General features: G+C 37.6%; 1 protein-coding gene across 5 annotated transcripts in view; it reads left to right on the top strand.

Moving 5' to 3' along the window:
* PLAA (phospholipase A2 activating protein) overlaps positions 1–14,303 on the top strand; it is a 43,871-nt gene extending 29,568 nt beyond the window's left edge. The window contains exons 10-14 of one of the 5 annotated variants that reach the window (NM_001031689.3): positions 510–578; positions 3,728–3,796; positions 7,236–7,337; positions 9,677–9,841; positions 11,599–14,303. In NM_001031689.3, the coding sequence (NP_001026859.1) occupies positions 510–578; positions 3,728–3,796; positions 7,236–7,337; positions 9,677–9,841; positions 11,599–12,164 (971 nt within the window). In that variant the 3' untranslated portion in view covers positions 12,165–14,303. Of the gene's footprint in view, positions 1–426; positions 579–969; positions 2,100–3,727; positions 3,797–7,235; positions 7,338–9,676; positions 9,842–11,598 lie in introns of those variants that run through there. The other 4 variants (NM_001321546.2, XM_047424083.1, XM_011518072.4 and 1 more) reach the window with 4 other exon arrangements.
* The last annotated feature ends 7,011 nt before the right edge of the window (positions 14,304–21,314 follow it).

Raw genomic sequence — 21,314 nt, 5'->3', positions numbered from 1 at the left:
AGTAGGTTGTAAGCTTCAGTGGATATAAGCAATTTTGTTCCCTTCTGGATCCCCAGCCCTGAGTCCATTGTTTGACACATGAATTAATGAACCTAGAGCTCTAAATGATTAACATTTAGTGCCTGTGGTTTTGATAACAATAACAACAGCAGGAACTCTTGTGAATTTGTATAGGAACAGGGACAGGAATTGATTGTATGTTTATATATTTAGGTCAGATATTACCTGCAATTCTCTTTTGATATTTGAATTAAGTTTTAATATTTAAGTGCTGGGGCTAAGGTATAATAAAGCATTAAAGTTAAGAAAACAAAACTTGGAGAATCATTAAAATTTCAGTTTTTTCCCAGTTATAAGACTTCTGACTATAGTTTCTGTCATTCTATCATGTGAAAGTTTTGCTCTTCTGTTTTTCTCCAAATGTAGGTTCTTCTAAAACAAGCATTGTGCTGTTTGAAAAATTCAGAACTTTGGTGCACTTCTGCCTTTTCTTTATTTTGCATGCACAGGTGGTGGTCGGTATGTTCCGGGCTCTTCGGGATCTTCTAACACACTACCCACAGCAGATCCTTTTACAGGTGGGATGTAGTTTTGATTCATGTATCTTTCTTCACTAAATGTATAGCATCTTGCATCACATGGCTTTACATCTTGGAGATGTCATCCAGTAATTGGTAATTCCCTTATCTGCATTTCCAATTTTGATGGATTTCCTTTTCTTTAACTTCTGATTTTTGCTTTTTCCTGGAGTGGTTGTGTAGATTCCCTCGTGACTTTTAAATAGCATATTATTAGAATTCATTGTTTTCTCCAGGGGTCCTTCCCACCAGGAGAGCAGTATAGTTAAGAATATAGGTTTTAGAGTCAGACAAACCTTGGTTCAAAATTGGGCTCTACCACTTACTTGCTATGAGAAGTTGGCAAGTTACCTAACCTGTCTGAGCCTATTTTTTTTATCTGTGAAATTAGATAATAGGGGAACCCACCAACCAAGACACAGCATGAGTGCTATCACTGGCGAGATGCTACCAATCACGAGCAGAGAAGGAGCCATGTGAGCCCTGATATTGGATGGAGCAGTACAATCAAGAAGTCTCCCCAGGCATATTTTGACTTAACATGGAAGGAGACATTCCACCCAACTACCCAGGAGTAGTCTTCCTAATCTAAGTTATTAATGTCCTTCTTGAAGCCCTTGAAGTGTTGGTGTATCTCTTCAAAATGAATTTATTTACCAAGGTATGCATGCCTCAGCATCAACACTACTGGAAAAAGTGCCAGAGTTGGACTTTAAGGCAGCTGAAGAAGTCTCTATTTTCAGAATGGCTTTTGATATCTTGTATAATGCTGTTGTTGGATCTTCAGACAGAGTTCCTCGACAGTATACTCAGTTTGGGAAGAGATCATAGCGTTTAGGTATCCACTGGCCTTGCAGACTGGTACTGTGAGCTATAAAAATGACAACCTACAGTCCTCTCTAAGTCATAGAGATTGGACAAACATACAACGTTAGGTCAGCATCATGAAGTTGTGGATTGCTGTCCGTGAGCTTCCTTTTTCCTGTGAATTTATTGATGGCCCAGATGGAAATGGTTGTACCATGTGCATTGATAACAAGTAAATGAAAATAATTAACTATCACACTAAATGCTGTTATGGCACAGTGGCTGTTAAGGAAGTCTTTGATAACATAATGTGATTTCAAATGGTAGTAAGGATCTGAAGAGTAGATAAGATGGCTTTCTCTCTATCAGCAGTTCAGAAACAGTGATGCCCTGAAACTTAATACCAAGTGAGAATCCAAATCACTTTGGCGGCTTTTTTTCTGGAACAGAAAGAACATATCAAGCTTCAACTAATACCAGCAAAATCAAGAAAACTCCTGGGGCCATTATAACCAGAGCATATCTCACTGTTCCATAATGTCAGTAACTCAGAAGATGCAGTAATTATGTAGATATGCAAGATAGCATACACAATGTCCAAGAGAATTAGGGTATCAGGATAATTGAATACACTTTTGTATAAATATATAACAGCATCTACCATATTGAGGTATGAAAATAAAATAGCATAATATGTGTAAGTGTTAAGCAAAATGCCTGGAGTATATTTAAGCCACGGTATGTATTAGTTGTTGTTGATGATGATGTTTTCCCAACTTTGTCAGTGGCACTGGGGCCAAAAGATTTCCCTATCTGGCTACAACTTAAAGTCAGTCTTAATTCTTCTTTCTTTTCCTTATTAATTTATGCAGTCCTTAAACTGCTAATGTTTATTAGAATGATCTGGGAAGCTTGTTTAAATTACTTATCCCAGGGTTCTATGGCCAAGAGATTCTGATTCACTAGATTAATGAGGAGGTTAAAACTAAAATTATTCATGCTCTGATCTCTCACCCAAGGATTCTAATTAAATAAATGATCTTGGTGGTAGTTTGATCTTAGATTTTTTTTTTTTTCGAGTCAGAGTTTTGTTCTTCTTGCCCAGGCTGGAGTGCAATGGTGCGATCTCAGCTCACCACAAACTCTGCCTCCCATGCTCAAGCAATTCTCCTGCCTCAGCCTCCCGAGTAGCCAGGATTACAGGCATGTGCCACCATGCCCAGCTAATTTTGTATTTTTAGTAGAGACAGGGTTTATCCATGTTGGTCAGGCTGGTCTCGAACTCCTGACCTCAGGTGATCCACCCGCCTCAGCCTCCCAAAGTGCTGGGTTTACAGGCGTGAGCCACCATGCCCAGCGATCTTATTTTTTAAAGTTCCCCAAGTGTTTCTAAAGTGGAGCCAGTTTGGAGTAACCCTGGGTTATGGGTGGACTCTGGGAATCTGTGTATTGAATCTGTGATTCATTCAGGTGGTCAGAAAACCATATTTAGAAAAGTGTGAGAGTGTACTTTACCTTTTAACAGCTTAATGCCTTGGGCAAGTTATTCAACCTTCTGCTTCTAAAATATTGTGAATTATAATGGTATCTATATAATACTTTAATGAATATATGCATAGAAGATGATTAACTGGCATATGGTTAAATTTCAACAAATCCATTTATTCTGTGTTTCTCATTATTTTAATTAATCTTACTTTTTTTTTTTTGGTTTTGCTTTTTTAATTTTCTTTGGCATTTCTGTATGTTTTGCGCCGGTTGTAACAACTCCTAGAGTATAAATTGAGAGAGGCTAGAACAGTAGCTCATTTTTCTTCTTCCCATAAAGGCTGATCCATTATTCTGAATATCTCCAAATCCTGCTGATTCTCTCTCTATACTTACTCTTTAAGTTTCCTTCTTTCTATTTTCAATAGGACAGCCACAAGTATTATCTATAATAAAATGTGACTGGGCTGTTGTCATAGTATCTCTAACTCTTACCTGAGTCTTTTCCAATTGTCTTATGTGCTAGTTAGTCCCACCCCTTTACTTCAATAGAATAGTGTTCACATTTTATTCTGGAAACTTTTATTTCTCTCCAATCCACTTACATTTTTGTAGTTTACTAAACTTCTACAATTATAATATATAAGGCATGTAATGTTTACTTTGTAGCTAACACTTATGATATGCTCAGGCACTGTTCTAAGCACTTTTCTGTATTAAATTTGTGGCATATTTATTATGTATATAATGACGCCATTGTGAAGTGTGCTTAATACTGGAAATAAGCGAAGGAGCAGTTTGAACTTTATAATTTACAGTCACCTTTGCTTACTAGGAGTATTATTGTATTGTAGGTGCTGGTCGTTATGTACCAGGTTCTGCAAGTATGGGAACTACCATGGCCGGAGTTGATCCATTTACAGGTACATACTTTTTATTTCTTTTTCTTTTTTTTAGATTTTAAAAATTCGTTGGAACTTTAATAAAAAGAGTAAGAAAATTTGTGTCATTTTCTTGCTTGAGAACTTTTTATATAGTAAATCGAGACCAAACTTGTCTGGCTTTTTGAGTTTTCTCAGAATTGTCTGATTACTACATTTTAGAATCATCTGGGGAGCTTTGCAAACGTACTTCAGCCTTATCCCCAGAGATGCTTACTTGGTCTAATTCTGCTCTGAGATGGGGGCTTGGCAAAGGGTAGTTTTATAATCTTCCAATGTGATTCTAATATGCATCTAGGATCGGAAACTACTGTTTTACTGTCGTAAATCTGCTTTCCTCACTACTCTTACAAAGTCTGTGTTTATTCTCATCTCTTCATTCTTAATGTGTTGAGAATGTTATTCACTGGATTATACATTGTTCTCTTTAAGAAGACTCAGGAAAGAATTTGCTTCTGTGATTTATGCCTGGAATAGCTATAGTTCTTCTGAGCAACTAATTTTTTTTTAATCCTTAGTTACCTAGTCTACAGTCTGACATACCTCACTTGTTCATTGAATATGTGCTGGCATGTTTTCCTCTGTATTGGCTGCCAGTAAAACACAGAGCTAAATTTGTGGTTCATCTCTTTCAGGTTTGACAGATATCTTGGCATATATTTTTTTCTAGTTAATTTTTATGTTCTTTGTAATTTATATGAGAGAAATTGAGTAACATATATGTTATTCAGCATTAAAATAAACACCCATAAACCTACCACTCAATAACTAACCTAGCATGTGTTTTTATTTTTTATTACTTTTGAGATGGGATCTTGTTTTGTTGCCTGGGCTGGGCTCAAACTCCTGGGCTCACATGATCCTCCCACCTCAGCCTCCTGAGTAGTTGGGTTTACATGCGCACACTACCATGTCCATCACTTGGCATGTGATTTTGTAAGCTATTTTTTAATTGCAAAAGTAACATTGGTTAGCAATACTGAAGTATAACATAGTACCTGTAATTAAGATTATGGATTCTGGAGTGAGAATCTAAATTCAAATCTCAGCTCTACTACTTTTTATCTGCTTGACCTTGAACAATTTATTTGATGTGTCTGTGCTTTTGTTTTTCTCATTTGCAAAGTTGAGGTCATATCTACTTCCTAGAATTAAGAACTTAAAATTATAAAATTTATGTAAATAACTTTTTACCAAATTAATGCTTAGTAATTGTTAGCTGTACTTGTTAACAAAGGTTAACAGTGCTCCCTCCCATTTTCCAGAAGTTAGTTTTTAACAGCATGGTGTGTATATTGAAGCTTTATATACCTTAGTACAAGCTAATGTCACCTCTCGCCTGGAATAATGAAATAACTTCCAAATTGGTCTCTCGATGATCCATATTGCAGACAGTGATCTTTTTATTGTTTACTCTGTTTATGCACCTCCCTTGATTAAAAAACTCTTCAGTGGCTTCCCAGTGAATATTTTTCTTTTGCCTTGCCCCACATTCCTCATTGCCTTTCTTCTGTCCAGCCATACTGGCTGGTGTCAGTTTCTTGAGCATGTAATAGTATTTTCTACCTCCAGAGCTTTGAACTCACTGTTTTCTTTTGGCATACTTATGCATTGCCCTTTGCCTTGTCATTTAGACCACAAATTATTGGCTGTTTTTCTCCCTTTTCTTTTTTATTTAATTTTGTAATACAGTATTTATTAGATAAGCTCAGTGAAACTTTTCTGAACACCCACATGTGTCCTTGCTAGATCGCCTACTCTTATCTTTCATTGCATCCTGTACTTTTCCATCAGGGAACTTTTCATTATACTTATTTGGATGATATTTGATTAATATTTGCATTCTTAACACAGCTCCTAGACTGTAATGACCAAGAATGCAGGCAATGTGTGTATGGCTCATTTTTATGTCAAGAAAAATTTATTGTTTATAAACAATTAATTTTGTACACCAATCTCACTAAGTGTTTCGTCTTTATCTACCTTCATCCCTTTCTATTCCTAATGTAATCAGAATATTAAGATAAATCTTTTATTCATATTTTTGCACAATATCTTAACTGTACATTTGAACAAAATAGGGTTTAAATTGATTAAGATTTGAAATGTGAGATGTAAATTAGATTTAAATTATACTTTAGTTGAAGGTCACTTTATTTATTGAATATTGCTGAATTTTCATCATTTGCCAGTTTGTTCATGATCAGATACTGAGTTTCTGTTAATATAATAGAGACTTAAGATGTAAAAAAAAGTATAAAAGACTAGGACTCAGACGGGCCTGGTGGCTCACGCCTGTAATCTCAGCACTTTGAGAGGCTGAGGTGAGCGGATCACCTGAGTCAGGAGTTCGAGACCAGCCCAACCAACATGGTGAAACCCCTTCTGTACTAAAACAATGCAAAAATTAGGCTGGGCATGGTGGCTTATGCCTGTAATCCCAGCACTTTGGGAGGCCAAGGCAGGTGGATGACGAGGTCAGGAGTTCGAGACCAGCCTGGCCAATGTGGTGAAACCCTGTCTCTACTAAAAATACAAAAATTAGCCGGGCGTGGTAGCTCATGCCTGTAATCCCAACTATTCTGGAGGCTGAGGCAGGAGAATTGCTTGAACTCAGGAGGTGGAGATTGCAGTGAGCCGAGATTACGCCACTGTACTCCAGCCTGGGCAACAGAGCGTGACTCTGTCTCAAAAAAACAAAAGGGCTAGGACTCCTCAGCAAACCACCATGGCATCCATTTACCTATGTAACAAACTTGCACATCCTGCACATGTACCCTGGAACTTAATAAAATACTTAAAAAAAAAAGAAAGACTAGGACTCCTGTCCTTCAGGGATTTACAACTTGGGGATTTATAAAGATGATGCAGAAAAAGATTAGAGAAAATGATAATACCTACTACATCCTTTGGAATAAGCAGTAAAAGACATAAAAGGAGAGATCAGCATGCCTTAGAGAAGATGAAAATGGAAAGTTTCATATAATCATATGGTATTCTTTGACTTTTTTAAAATTTATAATTTAGATTTAATCTTAGACCAGGCTCGGTGGCTCACACCTGTAATCCCAGCACTTTCGGAGGCTGAGGTGGGAGGATTGCTTGAGCCCAGGAGGTCGAGGCTGTAGTGAGCTGTGATTGCACCACTGCACCCTGTCTCAGAAAGAAAAAAAAGAAGTAAAAAGTGTGAGATGATCTTGTTCTACATTTAAGCTTCCATTCCCAAAACCAAAAAATATTATATCAATAAATATAAATTATACAAAATATTTTGGATATTTTTCCCCTTGAGGTTCCTTGTTTATTGCACGCACTGAATAGTTGCATATCTCAATAATTGTGAAAACTAAGTCATATAGTTAGAAAAATCTCATTTTTGATCACTCCTTGTGATTATCATCATCTTCTATTCTTTAAATAGGGAATAGTGCCTACCGATCAGCTGCATCTAAAACAATGAATATTTATTTCCCTAAAAAAGAGGCTGTCACATTTGACCAAGCAAACCCTACACAAATATTAGGTAAGTTTCTTTAATTAATTTATTCACATATTCACAGACTGTTTGAGATGTCATCAAGGTTGTTTCTCTTGCCAACATGTGTCAGGAATTGGGTACTTAATATGAATAGATATTTCTATTGCAGTATTAAACAACTGTGTCCACCACAAATATACAGTCTGGTAAAGGATCCATAATACTTTCTAAGAAGTCTTACACAAACATAAAGTAAGTAATTTATGATGACTGTAATAAAAAAAATTAAAGGTGGAAAATGTAAATTCTACCCACCCAGGCTCTTAATGTTTTCAAAAAAAATTAATGAATATGAATGAGTAAAGCATTTGAAAAATTAAGATCTTATCTTTAAAAGATTAGTGGCCCTCAGAAATAATACAAGTTCATTTTAAATTGCCCATTAGAAATGAATCTGCTGGCCTGGTACAGTGACTCATGCCTGTAATCCCAGCACTTTGGGAGGCCAAGGCGGGCGGACTGCCTAAGGTCAGGAGTTCGAGACTAGCCTGGCTAACATGGTGAAACCCCGTTTCTACTAAAAATACAAAAATTAGCCGGGCGTGGTGGTGGGCGCCTGTAATCCCAGCTACTCTGGAGGCTGAGGCACGAGAATCACTTGAACCTGGGAGGTGGAGGAGTTGCAGTGAGCCCGAGATCGCGCCACTGCACTCCAGCCTGGGCAACAGAGCAAGACTCCATCTCAAGGAGAAAAAAAAAAAAAAAGAAATTAATCTGCTTTAGTGACTTTGATTGCTTTTTCTGTTTGTGTTCCTCAAAACAAAATACAGTGTTTTGTTGTTGTTGTTGTCTTGGACTAAGAGTACTTATTAGCTTTGTTTGCCACAAAGATTATGATGAGAATTAATTGGGTTAACATAACGTAACATACTTACCAGAGTATAAGGCAGAGTCAGTATTGTAAAAATTTATAAAAATCACTCATTAATATTTTCTTAATTGCTTTATTTTGAATAATGTAGTATATGCACACTTTTAGATTTTTTTTAAAAAAACTTGTGAAAATCTAACAGGTATTTAGACTTTTGCATTCCTTAATGAACTTGATTTTTATTTATTAGAGTTAAAGCTGTTAATACCTGAGATTAGTGAAACAGGCCCTAGTTTCCATTTATAATTGATTTCAATGGTGTAAATTTGGATAATTTTCCTTATTATCGGAATTTGGACTTTTTTATTCTTGAGATAAAGATTTTTAAAGAAACACAGTAACTCAAAGTCATGATACAAAGGATACTGATACTAAAGATACATGCGAAGGATTTGAAGGAAATTGTTTCATGAAATGAGAACATGGGAAGAAAGGGCAGTATGTCCATTAAATAAATTTTTAAAATAATGTGACATCAAATATGCATATGGAACTAAGTCATAAATTAAATGTTATCAGTAGGCATTTAACTCTTTGACTATTTCATTGACAGCTGTAGAATTTGACATAAATTGGCTAAAAAGTTGTTATAAATTTTCTCATGGAGAAACTAGGTTATTGACTTACACTTGAATATATATTACACATGATACTGCTTTGAAAGTCATCCAAAATGGAGGCCGGACGTGGTGGCTCATGCCTGTAATGCCAGCACTTTGGGAGTTCAAGGCAGGTGGGTCACTTGAGGTCAGGAGTTTTTCACCATGTTGGTCAGCCTGGCCAACATGGTGAAACCCCATCTCTACTAAAAATACAAAAATTAGCTGGTGTGGTGGTGCATGCTGGTAGTTCCAGCTACTCGGGAGGCTGAGGCAGGAGAATCGCTTGAAAATCCTGATGGCGGAGGTTGCAGTGAGCCGAGATCATGCCACTGCACTCCAGCCTGGGCAACAGAGTGAGACTCCATCTCAAAATAATAATAATAAGGCCAGGCGTGGTGGCTCACACCTGTAATCACAGCACTTCGGGAGGCTAAGGAGGGTGGACCACGAGGTCAGGAGATTGAGACCATCCTGGCTAATGTGGTGAAACCCCGTCTCTACTAAAAACACAAAAAATTAGCCAGGCATGGTGGCAGGCGCCTATAGTCCCAGCTACTCAGGAGGCTGAGGCAGGAGAATTGCTTGAACCTGGGGGGCGAGCTTGCAGTGAGCCAAGATGGCGCCACTGCACTCCAGCCTGGGCGACTGAGCAGGACTCCATCTCAAAAAAAAAAAAAAAAAAGACAAAGCTCATAAGCCTTATCCTTACTTTATGGTGTTTGATAATTGCTGAGTAAAGTCTTAACTCCCCATGGTGTACACTAGAGTACTTTTATTGAAAGTCTTGGCATTTATATATTATCTGGCCAATTACAGTTAGAGAATTTTGAAAGTTTGGTTTTGGGTTCTAGGTAAACTGAAGGAACTTAATGGAACTGCACCTGAAGAGAAGAAGTTAACTGAGGATGACTTGATACTTCTTGAGAAGATACTGTCTCTAATATGTAATAGTTCTTCAGAAAAACCCACAGTCCAGCAACTTCAGATTTTGTGGAAAGCTATTAACTGTCCTGAAGGTAAATAAACACTCTTCAAAAATGTAACCAGAAAGCAAGAAGTTTTATCTTCATTTCTATCAATATTACTGGTATTTGTGGATTAAATGAAAGTTAACTTCGGTAGTTCTAAATCACTATGGAAAATCTTCACGAAAAGGGTTCACTACACTACTGGAATTGATGATCTTGTTTCCGTTACATGCCTTTTGAGAATCTGAAGGTAATATATGATCCCCATATATGCACCAGTTTGTTTTTTTGTTGTTGTTGTTTGTTTTCTTTGTTTTTTTGTTTTGTTTTGTTTTTGTTTTTGAAATGGAGTCTTGCTCTGTCGCCCAGGCTGGAGTGCAGTGGCGTGATCTCGGCTCACTGCAAGCTCACTGCAAGCTCCGCCTCCCGGGTTCACGCCGTTCTCCTGCCTCAGCCTCCTTAGTAGCTGGGACTATAGGCACCCGCCACCATGCCCGGCTAATTTTTTGTATTTTTAGTAGAGACGGGGTTTCACCACGTTAGCCAGGATGGTCTCAATCTCCTGACCTCGTGATCCTCCCGCCTCAGCCTGGGATTACAGGCGTGAGCCACCGCGCCCGGGCATGCACCTGTTTGTTTACTGTTTCAGAGCATTTGTGGATTCCTGGCCAGGCATCCAAGATACTCTTAGTGACCTGTTAACCCTAGGCTACAAATATTTACTGTAAGTTTTTTTTTTTCCAATTATGTCAGTTAAGTCTTTTTTAATTCTCAAAGAGTCCTTGCCTGTTATTTTTTTTTATGCCACTGATTTATTGGAGAAAAAGTCTTTTTTTTTTTTTTTTCAATAAAATGTCCCATATTATGGATTTTGCTGATGTGTTCCTCCATCTCTGTATTTATTGCTAGTGGCAAAATTAGATTCTGGTTCAGTAGGTGTTTTTTTTTTAGGTGAAATCCTTTATAAATGATGATGCATACTACTTTTACATTACGGAGCACATAATGTTGGATTTCCTCACCTTTAGTGATGCTAAGATTATTTTGTGCATTCATTCAGATGGCATCTACCCAGGCCCTTGATTATAAAGCTCCCACCAACCTATAAGCATCCTATCACTTGTTAACTGGAATTCTTCTCTTAAGAACTTTCCGGCTGGGCACGGTGGCTCATGCCTGTAATCCCAGCACTTTGGGAGACCAACTTGGGTAGATCACCTGAAGTCAGGAGTTTGAGACCAGCCTGACCAATATGATGAAACCTCGTCTCTACTAACAATACAAAAATTAGCTGGGCGTGGTGACGTGCACCTGTAATTCCAGCTACTTGGGAGGCTGAGACAGGAGAATTGCTTGAACCCGGGAGGTGGAGGTTGCAGTGAGCCGAGATCATGCCATTGCAATCCAGCCTGGGCAACAGGAGTGAAACTGTCTCAAAAAAAAAAAAAAAAAAAAAAAGAACTTTCCCTGTTTAATTGTTCGGTCTTACAGAATTTTTTAAAAGCAAAGTCTGCACCCCATTCTTTCCATTCATTTTTGAATACTCACAGTGTGTAGGCTGTTTGAGAGAGTTACCTTATTTTTAAAGCGAATATGATCTTACAGCAATAAATCTAGTTTATATAAATATGAAAAATTAACAAAAGTTTCAGAAATATATGCATTTTTTTTAAAGCAGACACATGATTTTTCACATTTTCTAAAATGGTTAGTTTTGCAGTGGGAAAATAAAATCCTTCAAAGTCGATAGTCAAAAGAAATTTTCTTTATTTTCATAAGCATTAATGACTTTTTTTTTTTAATAGATATTGTCTTTCCTGCACTTGACATTCTTCGGTTGTCAATTAAACACCCCAGTGTGAATGAGAACTTCTGCAATGAAAAGGAAGGGGCTCAGTTCAGCAGTCATCTTATCAATCTTCTGAACCCTAAAGGAAAGCCAGCAAACCAGCTGCTTGCTCTCAGGACTTTTTGCAATTGTTTTGTTGGCCAGGCAGGACAAAAACTCATGATGTCCCAGAGGGAATCACTGATGTCCCATGCAATAGAACTGAAATCAGGGAGCAATAAGAACATTCACATTGCTCTGGCTACATTGGCCCTGAACTATTCTGTTTGTTTTCATAAAGACCATAACATTGAAGGGAAAGCCCAATGTTTGTCACTAATTAGCACAATCTTGGAAGTAGTACAAGACCTAGAAGCCACTTTTAGACTTCTTGTGGCTCTTGGAACACTTATCAGTGATGATTCAAATGCTGTACAATTAGCCAAGTCTTTAGGTGTTGATTCTCAAATAAAAAAGTATTCCTCAGTATCAGAACCAGCTAAAGTAAGTGAATGCTGTAGATTTATCCTAAATTTGCTGTAGCAGTGGGGAAGAGGGACGGATATTTTTAATTGATTAGTGTTTTTTTCCTCACATTTGACATGACTGATAACAGATAATTAAAAAAAGAGAATACGGTGGATTAAGTAAAATTTTACATCTTGTAAAGTGGTGGGGAGGGGAAACAGAAATAAAATTTTTGCACTGCTGAACTGTGAGATTTTCCTGTGTAATTTGGGTAGATTTTCAAGAGTGTGAACACAAATTTAAAATAAGCTATAATCAGCAACAACACAATGACAATGACATCTTCCCCTTACCTTAGCCACTAAGAAGACAAGGGCTGTTACTCATATAACTTGCTTTTATTACTTAATGTACACCAAACTGTTGTTGTCAATTATCTTTTATTTAACTTCTCCACCTTCATTGCTAGATCCTTCGAACAGCACTGATACATTTCAAGGTCTTGTTTTAGGATAACTACTTTAAAATTTTTTAAATTATATTAAATTTATAAAATAATTTATAAATTCATATATTAAAACAATATAAGATAATTTCTTGATTTGTCATTTATAAATCCTAAAGTATATTTGTTTAATGGCCTATTTTTAGATGAAGAAAAAGCCAGTTGGTAAGCTGTGTTAGTCATGTATCAGTTCAGACAGACGAGGTCTCAATTTAACTCCAGGCTTAGATCCAGTTTCTTTTGCCCTTCACTATTTGAGGTAACTTCATTTTTCATTCTAGTTTTGATATTTGGCTGTTTATTTTTGTCATTTTCCATTATTTCAAAGGGAATTTGGAACATGTTGAATTTTATCAGGTGGTTACATAAGCAAGAGTACATCAAACTGTATTATTTGAAAGTCTAGAACCTGTCATGTGAAATTACTATTTTTGAGCCCTCTATGTGGTCCAGGCAGAATAGTAGACACACTGATATTTAATCCTTAAAACCCCTTTAAATGAGGGCCAGTATTATCTCTGCTTTCAGAAGTAGACATAATAGGATGAATCATATAACAGAAAAAAAAAAGTGAAGCCAAGAGGGAGTTAACTACTTAAAGTACATGCTATGCTATACTTTCTAGAGAGATCACAGATGTGTGTGAACATCCTAGCAATTAACACAAAGAAGGAACCATCACATTAATTACACAATTTATTGTGTCTGAGGTAACCCAGTTTCTTGAGAGAAGCGTAACTATTTTCAAAAGTGGGAAAGATCTTTTCATAAAGACGTTGCCAGAAATAGCAACATTCTCAATACTCGTGGTGTAAAAACCATGAATCCCCTGGCTTAATGCCAAATTATAGCCTTAGAAGAATAATTGTTCCCCAAATGGGCAAGAAAGGTTCTAATTGTCAAGAGTAACCCAAGTAAGAACTTTTGGAATATCAAAAGGAAATGAGCAAAATGTAAATAGAGGGGATATGTACTTTGCTGAGTATTAAATTGGAACTACCTGGTGTGTACCTGGACTAAATATTCTGTTCACTGGCTCAGTTGAGTACCTATACTTTTCGTTTTTTGATTGGGTTTAGGTGGTTATGTCAAAGTTAAATGGCAAAATTAGGAATTTAACCCAGGTCTGGCTGGTTCCTTTACAATACACTGCTTTCTTAAGTACAAATAATTTAATTGCAATATTTAGGAAAAGTAGGTACCTTTGAATAATGATAAGAAACAGTCTTGGTTAAGAATATGAGTTCCCTCTTCAAAATGTAAGGGGTGGCAAAATGTAAACACTGCTTCCTATTACTGTGCAAGTTTTTTTATGTCAACTTTACTATTTCATGTTTGTTGTGGAGATTACAAAATATAGCTTAGCAAAAGGAAACAATCTCACTTGAAGGATATGTTAAATAATTTAATGATATTTTAAAGATTTTCTTTTTTAGTTAAACTTTCCTATGATTCTCTTAATGTTTTTTCTGAATACAAAAGTAATAAATATTTATTGAGTAAAACACACACACCCCAAATAAAAATTGCCTGTAAGGCCACTATCTAGAGAAAACTATTCTTAACATCTTGTGGCATAGTGACTATGTATGTAAATGTATTTTATTTTATTAAAAAAGCGTTGTATCATACATACTCTTTGATAACCTGATTTTTAAACTTATATTTGGTACAAAGAGCTCCACATTAATAAATACAATATTCTATCATATGGATATACCCATTTCTTATTAACTGGCACTGTTTCCAATTTTCAGCTATCAAGCAATGGTAATGACAAATCTCACAAGAGTCTTACTAGTTCCCTAGGAACATTTTATACATGGAATTGGTAGATGAAGATAGTGTACATTGTTTAGACTGTTTACATTGCCATCGCACCTCTAGTGGTACAACTCTTGGAATTAATGTACTTCATATTGCATTTGAAACCCCATTGCCTACAAAAGAGTTAAGTTATTATTGTCTCCATTTCATAACTATTATCTTCTCTCTGGCATTAGGTTCCTTTAGATGAGTATGTTACTGTTTATATGACTAGCTGAATTTATAACTAAATAGCAATGCAATGAAATTTATTATCTACCTCATAATCTTAAGTGATGGAAGAAGCATAGGTAAAAATGGATTCTTTACATAGATAATTCTGGGGATAAGAGTAGGAGGTAGGTTCCTCAGCAGTTATCACTTTGTATGTTATGGTTATTTTTTTTTTTTTTTTTTGAGACGGAGTCTGGCTCTGTCGCCCAGTCTGGAGTGCAGTGGTGTGATCTCTGCTCACTGCAAGCTCCGCCTCCCGGGTTCACGCCATTCTCCTGCCTCAGCCTCCCGAGTAGCTGGGACTACAGGCGCCCGCCACTACGCCCGGCTATTTTTTTGTATGGTTATTTTATGAGGAAATGATAAAATGCATAAAAGGCCATTTGTGATATGTCATCCTTCCTGGAAGTCTTAGATAAATTCCAGGCCTTTAAAGTGTTATTCAATCCTTTTTAAAAAAAACTATTCTAATTTCTAATGCATTATTTTCTGTAGAAATTATATGCCGTATACTTGTGATTATAAATAGTTTTGAAGACTTTAATAGCATTTTTTCATGAGTTTTCCTTCAACTTTTTAATAAAAATATTCATACATAAAAATTTTAAAAGGCTGGGTGCAGTGGCTCACACCTGTAATCCCAGCATTTTGGGAGGCTGAGGCGAGAGCATCGTTTAAGCCCAGAGATCAAGACCAGCCTGGTCAACATAGAGAGATCGCATCTCTACCAAAAATTTAAAAATTAGCCAGACATGATATTGCGTGCCTGCAATTCCAGCTACTCAGAAGGCTGAGGCGGGAGGATCACTTGAGCCTGGGAGATCAGGATTGCAGTGAGCCATGATTGTGCCACTGCACTGCAGCCTGGGTGTTGACAGAGCAAGACTTTGTCTCAAAAAAAAAAAAAAGAAAACTGAAAGAAAAGTACAGTGAACATTCATGGACTTGTTAACTAGATTCCACAGTTATTAACATTTTGCCAGATTTGCTTTATCTCCATAGTATGTACTTTTTTTTGAAATTACTTAAATGCTTATCAACTGGATACTTCCATATGCATCTTATAAGAATGAGGGCATTTTTAAGAACATAACTTGCCACTGATAATATCACACTTAAGGAAATTAGTAATTTCATAATATCTAATATCTAGTCCATATTTCAAATTTCCTCATTGCTCTAAGAATGCCTTTTATAACTTGCTTTAAAAAGATCTAAATAATCAAGGTTTGTGTACTGTATCTATGAATAGTTTAGATATATGCTTCTTTGACTTCTTAATCTAGAATAGTCTTTCATATTTTAAAACTATCAGTGACTTTTTGAAATGTTTAGGGCACTCCAGCATGTGAAGCACCTCACATTTTGTGTTTGTAAAATATTTTTCTACAACCCTTTAGTATTGGTTATCTATTGCTGCTTAATAAATGACCCCAGAACTTTGTGGATTAAAATAGCACATATTATCTCAAATGTTCTGTGGTTCAGGAATCCTAACACAGCTTAGGTGGATCCTCTTGAGGCTGTAAAGTATCAGCCAAGGCTGGTGTCTCATCTAAAGGCTCTACTGAGGAAGGTTTCATTTTCAAGCTCACATCGTTGTTGTTTAGATCTTTTGGGGTTGGACTGAGGACCTCAATTCCTAGCTAGCTGTTGGCCAAAGACTGCCCTCTCTGAGTTTTGCTATATGGGCCTCCCCAGTGTGGCAAGTTGCTTCATCAAAGCCAGCAAGGGAGAGACTGCTGGCAGGACCAAAGTTGGAATCTTTATAATCTAATCACAGAAGTGACATCTCAACATCAAGGTATTGTATTGGTTGGAAGTTAATCAAGGGGAGTAGATTATGCAAGGCAGTGAATACCAGTAGGGGAGGGATCACTGGGGGCTATCTTGGAGTCGGCCTGCAACATCTATTTCCTATAAACTGAAAGCTTGTTTCCACTGAGATTAAACTATTTGTAGGAATACTTTACAGGTGATATGTACTTGTTATTTTGTCTTGATTATATCATATATGAGCTTCCTTAAGGGGTAAAATAGTCTTCAGAATAAGGTGGGTAATGGAAGCTGTAAAGAGGAGAAAGTTGCCTAAAGTCCTTTTGTAAAGTAGATAGTCTAATATTGGTCCTAGGCCTAAAATGAGATGTTGGGGCTTAAAACCTGACCTTGGAATTCCTGGACACTTGATAAATCAGAAAAATAAAATGTCCGAATGGCTGTGATCATCACATTTCAAGTTATGTAGCAACATTTACCACAACAGTTTGCAACTTGATTTAAATCAAACCAAATAACAATGCAAAGAACAACTAGGCAGCCTGCATTAAGCACTTATTCTTTTCTAGTTGTATATGCATAGTTTATCCTCATTATCTCTATGAGGTAGGTATTACACAGGTGTAGAAACTGAAAGAAGTCAAATCTGTATGACAAGTCAGTAGTAACCAAACAATGGAGAAGATAACAGTATTTAATCAATGATGTTGCCAAAACTGGATATCAATATGAAGAAAAATACCAGTTTGTAGTAGCCACTTTAATAGCAACTACAGTGGCTGCTAGTGCCATATAAGAATGACATGGATCAAAAGAAAGTGGTTTTAAGCCATTAAATGACATTTCTTTCATTCCTGTGTCCTCAAAGGAACTAATAAATTCAATAAATGTTCACTTATTTCTATATTATTCAAAATTTTCAGTAGTAATAGCAACCAAAGCTGCAGTATAATATAGTGAAGGAGCACTGGCTTTGGAGTTCAAAAGGCATATATTCCAATAGCCTTACCATCACTTAGTAATGAATTAAGGCAAGTTGCTTAACCTCAGCCTCAGTCAGTCATCTGTTCAGTGGGACTTCATATGACAGATGAATAATTTAAGATTCATGTAAAAGCCTAGCAAAATGATGGCCACATAAATGCTCAGCAAGCATTTCTTCCAAAGACAATACAAGGCTACCATGTTCTTTAATAATAAGAATAATTGCCTTTACAAAAACAAACAAAAGGGGGAAAAAAGTAATTTGGTTTTATTTCTACTGTGGAAGAAATGCCCTTGGGGCAGGGGGTAATCCTGAAGGACATTTATAAAGTTGTTTAGAACTCAAAATCCTTACCCTTCTTTTAAACTTCGTATAGTGCCCCAGGACCCAGCAAGAAAGTGTTTCTGTTGGACTGTAAAAATCACATATATGCATACTACAGCCCTAGCAGTGGTCTCATGATTTCTTGTAAGACTTCTGTGTATCGAATAGTGACAATATCAAACCAGTTTTGAAGACTTCTTACTGCTAACAGAGAAATACAGGGAAAGGGTCTCTTTTAGACAGAGTGCACATTGGTTAACTATAGCCACAGTAATACTGTGCAACAACCAACAACAAAAATAATAGTTTTTATTTAGCTCAGGAGTTTCAAGCTTGGGGTAGGATGGTCCTGGCTGGGCTCATTCATGTTTCTACAGGTTGTCTGAGGACTCAGCTCTAGGCTAGGCTCGTCTGAGTAGCTTAGTTGAGGCAGCTCTGCTCTACTTGTTGCTCATCTTTCTTCTAGGACCAGTGGGCCACTTTGGGTATATAATTTTTATGATAATGGTGGAAGCACAAGTCAACCATCCTAATTGCACAAGCTTTTTTTGAGACTCCACTTGCTGCACATCTGCTAACATCCATTTGGCCAAAGTAAGTTAGATGGCGTAGCAGAAGGGTAGGGAATTAGGTCTCACCTGTAGCAGGAGGGCACTGCCAAATTACATGGCAAGCTGTGGATATAGGGAGAGGTGAAGAACTGGGGTCATTAATGCAATTTGCCACAAGGGTGATAGAGAAAGAAGCTCTGTGTGGGTCCTGAAATTATCAGTTTAGAATTTTAACAAATATTTGCATCCCTAGCTTCTTCCAGGTAATGTATCAGGTGTTGAGACTACAAAAATATATATGCATAGTTCCTGGGAACTAACAGTATATTGGAGAAGATACTGAGCAAGTGCCTGCAGTAAAGAGTTCTGGACACTCTGTAGGGAGAATAGTGGGTTGCAAAAAAAGAAGTGGTTAATTTTAGGAGGATTGAGAATGGAAGTGATGTGGAAATGTTTTAAATAAGTTATACTTAAAATGAATCTTAGATACAATAAGTGTAGGTAGGGTTGTTGAATAGGCCTGAAGAGTGTATTTCTAGGAAAGGCTGAAGAGAAAAATGCTGTTCAGAGCATGGAAGGTCTTATGTTGTACTATGCTGTACTATGCTGTACTTATGCTGTACTATGTTGTATTAATTAGGACTTCAGGTTGCAAGTGACAGAAATCAACTCAGATCAGACAGGGCACTGTGGCTCATGCCTGTAATCCCAGCAATTTGGGAGGCCGAGGCGGGGGATCATTTGAGGTCAGGAGTTCAAGACCAGCCTGACTGATACGGTGAAACCCTCTAAATTAGCCAGGCATGGTGGTGCATGCCTGTAGTCTCAGCTACTCAGGAGCCTGAGACAGAATCGCTTGAACCCAGGGGGCGGAGGTTGCAGTGAGCCGAGATCGCACCATTGCACTCCAGCCTGGGTAACAGCGAGGCTGTCTCAAAAGAAAAAAAAAAAAAAAATCAACTCAGATCAGCTTAATTGGGGGAGAAAAAAGAATTACACTGGCTCACTGATGGAAAATGATAGTATCAGGATTTTTTGTTACTTGTTTCAGCAAGTGCTTTTGTTGGCCTAATTTTCTTAGAATTGTCACAAGACAGAGAACATGACAACAAGCAGCTAGGAGACAATTTACTTCCAGTTGACTGTAATGAAGTTAAGTGATGACTTAGTGTGAAAGAGCAAATTTCTCACCAAATATCTCTTTATAAAATCCCAGAGAAGAACTGATTGACCCCAGCATTAATGCATGCCTATCCCTGGCAATCACTGTGATCAATGCTCAATGCATTGCTGAAATTGGTGTATAAGAACCAATCTCTGTCCACCCTCCCTTATATACTTGTTCTAGGCAGAAAAGCAGTCTGCATTTGTTTGCAGAGCTTTAAGTCCATAGCAATGTTTAGTGCTGGGCCTCTTAAGCATATTAAGGTGAACCATATGAAATTGTCAATATTCAACTACTTTTTCCTTTTTTTTCTCTCTGCTGCTTGAATCAACATTCAACCATTTTCAACCTGTAAAAAGCCAGTTTCATATGGGTTCAACCTAAAAAGACATCTCTCTGACTGTAAGTCAGGCTTGTGATGTCTCTATGGCATGTTCTTAGCATAAATCAAAGTCCTTTCCCCATCTTCCATTCAGCAGAACCCCATGTAGAAAGCAGTTTGTACCTGTGGTTCCAAAGCCCACTTGACTGTCAACTTCACAGTAGCAGCTAACTCCCTATGGCTATATCTCTCCACCATGCGACGTAAGAGCGCCGCAAACCTCCTCCCAACCTCATTTATTAAAGACTAGTTTCTAGCCATTAATTTTACTCACTCTGTCCCCCATACTGGAGTGCAGTGGTGCAATCACAGCTCACAGCAGCCTCGATCTCCCCAGGCTCAGGTAATCCTTCCACCTCAGCCTCCTGAGTAGCTGGGACCACCATGCCAGGCTAATTTTTTTTTTTTTTTTTGTATTTTTTGTAATGATGGTGTTTTGCCATGTTGCTCAGGCTGTTCTTGAACTCCTGGGTTCAAGGGATCTGCCCACCTCAGCCTCCTAAAGTGCTGGTATTACAGATTGGGCCACTGTGCCTGGCCTGTGCCAAATTTTTATTCAGGACAGTGGGATATTGGGAATAAAAAAGCAAATAAAGCCAGGAGCGGTGGCTCACGCCTGTAATCCCAGCACTTTGGGAGGCTGAGGCAGGCGGATCACAAAGTCAGGAGTTCTAGACCAGCTTGGCCAACATGGTAAAACCCCATCTCTACTAAAACTACAAAAATTAGCTGGGCGTGGTGGTGGGTGCCTGTAATCCCAGCTACTCAGGAGGCTGAGCAGGAGAATTGCTTGAACCCGGAAGGCAGAGGCTGCAGTGAGCTGAGATCGTGCCATTGCACTCCAGCCTGAGCAACAGGGTGAGACTCTGTCTCAAAGGAAAAAAAAAAAAAGCAAATAAAACAAAGTCCTTGCTTTCAAGGAGCTTACATTCAAGTGGAAGGACACAGATAAATATATGTGTGGTGGTGTTTAAGGGTGCTGAAGAAAAACAGGGTAAGAAGAATGCAGAGTGCCATAGTGAGTGAAGATAGAAGCACTTCCTATTGTGTATTTTCTTATTGTTTCCCCTCACTAGAAAATTGCTTATGAAGACATGCATTTTGTTCTATTTTCTCCCCTTCTCTATCACCAGTGGTAGAACAATGCCTTTGTGTCCTAGAACAAGTGTGTGAGAGGGCAGACAAAGACTGTGATTCATCTGCCAAGTTCATAAATACTGTACAGCAATCTAGTGAGGAGTGCTTTGCCTCCTTGGTCCACCTGAAGAAATATGAACACCGTTTGTCAGGTTGCTGTAGAACAAAGTGGAAACCTAGAAGCTTCTCAATTGATTTTATAAGAGAGTAATTTGCAGCCAGGTAGCTCTATCCAGGCACACATAACATTTTAGGTCTGTATTAGCTAGCTCGGGCTGCCATAACAAAGTGCCACAAACTGGGTGGCTTAAACAGAAATTTATTTTCTCAGTTCTGGAGGCTAAAGGTCCAAGATCAGCA

The sequence above is a fragment of the Homo sapiens genome, chromosome 9 (assembly GCF_000001405.40).
Source record: "Homo sapiens chromosome 9, GRCh38.p14 Primary Assembly".
Lineage (NCBI taxonomy): Eukaryota > Metazoa > Chordata > Mammalia > Primates > Hominidae > Homo > Homo sapiens.
The sequence above is the reverse complement of the archived record's forward strand: the minus strand, read 5'-3'. Positions and strand labels throughout refer to the sequence as shown.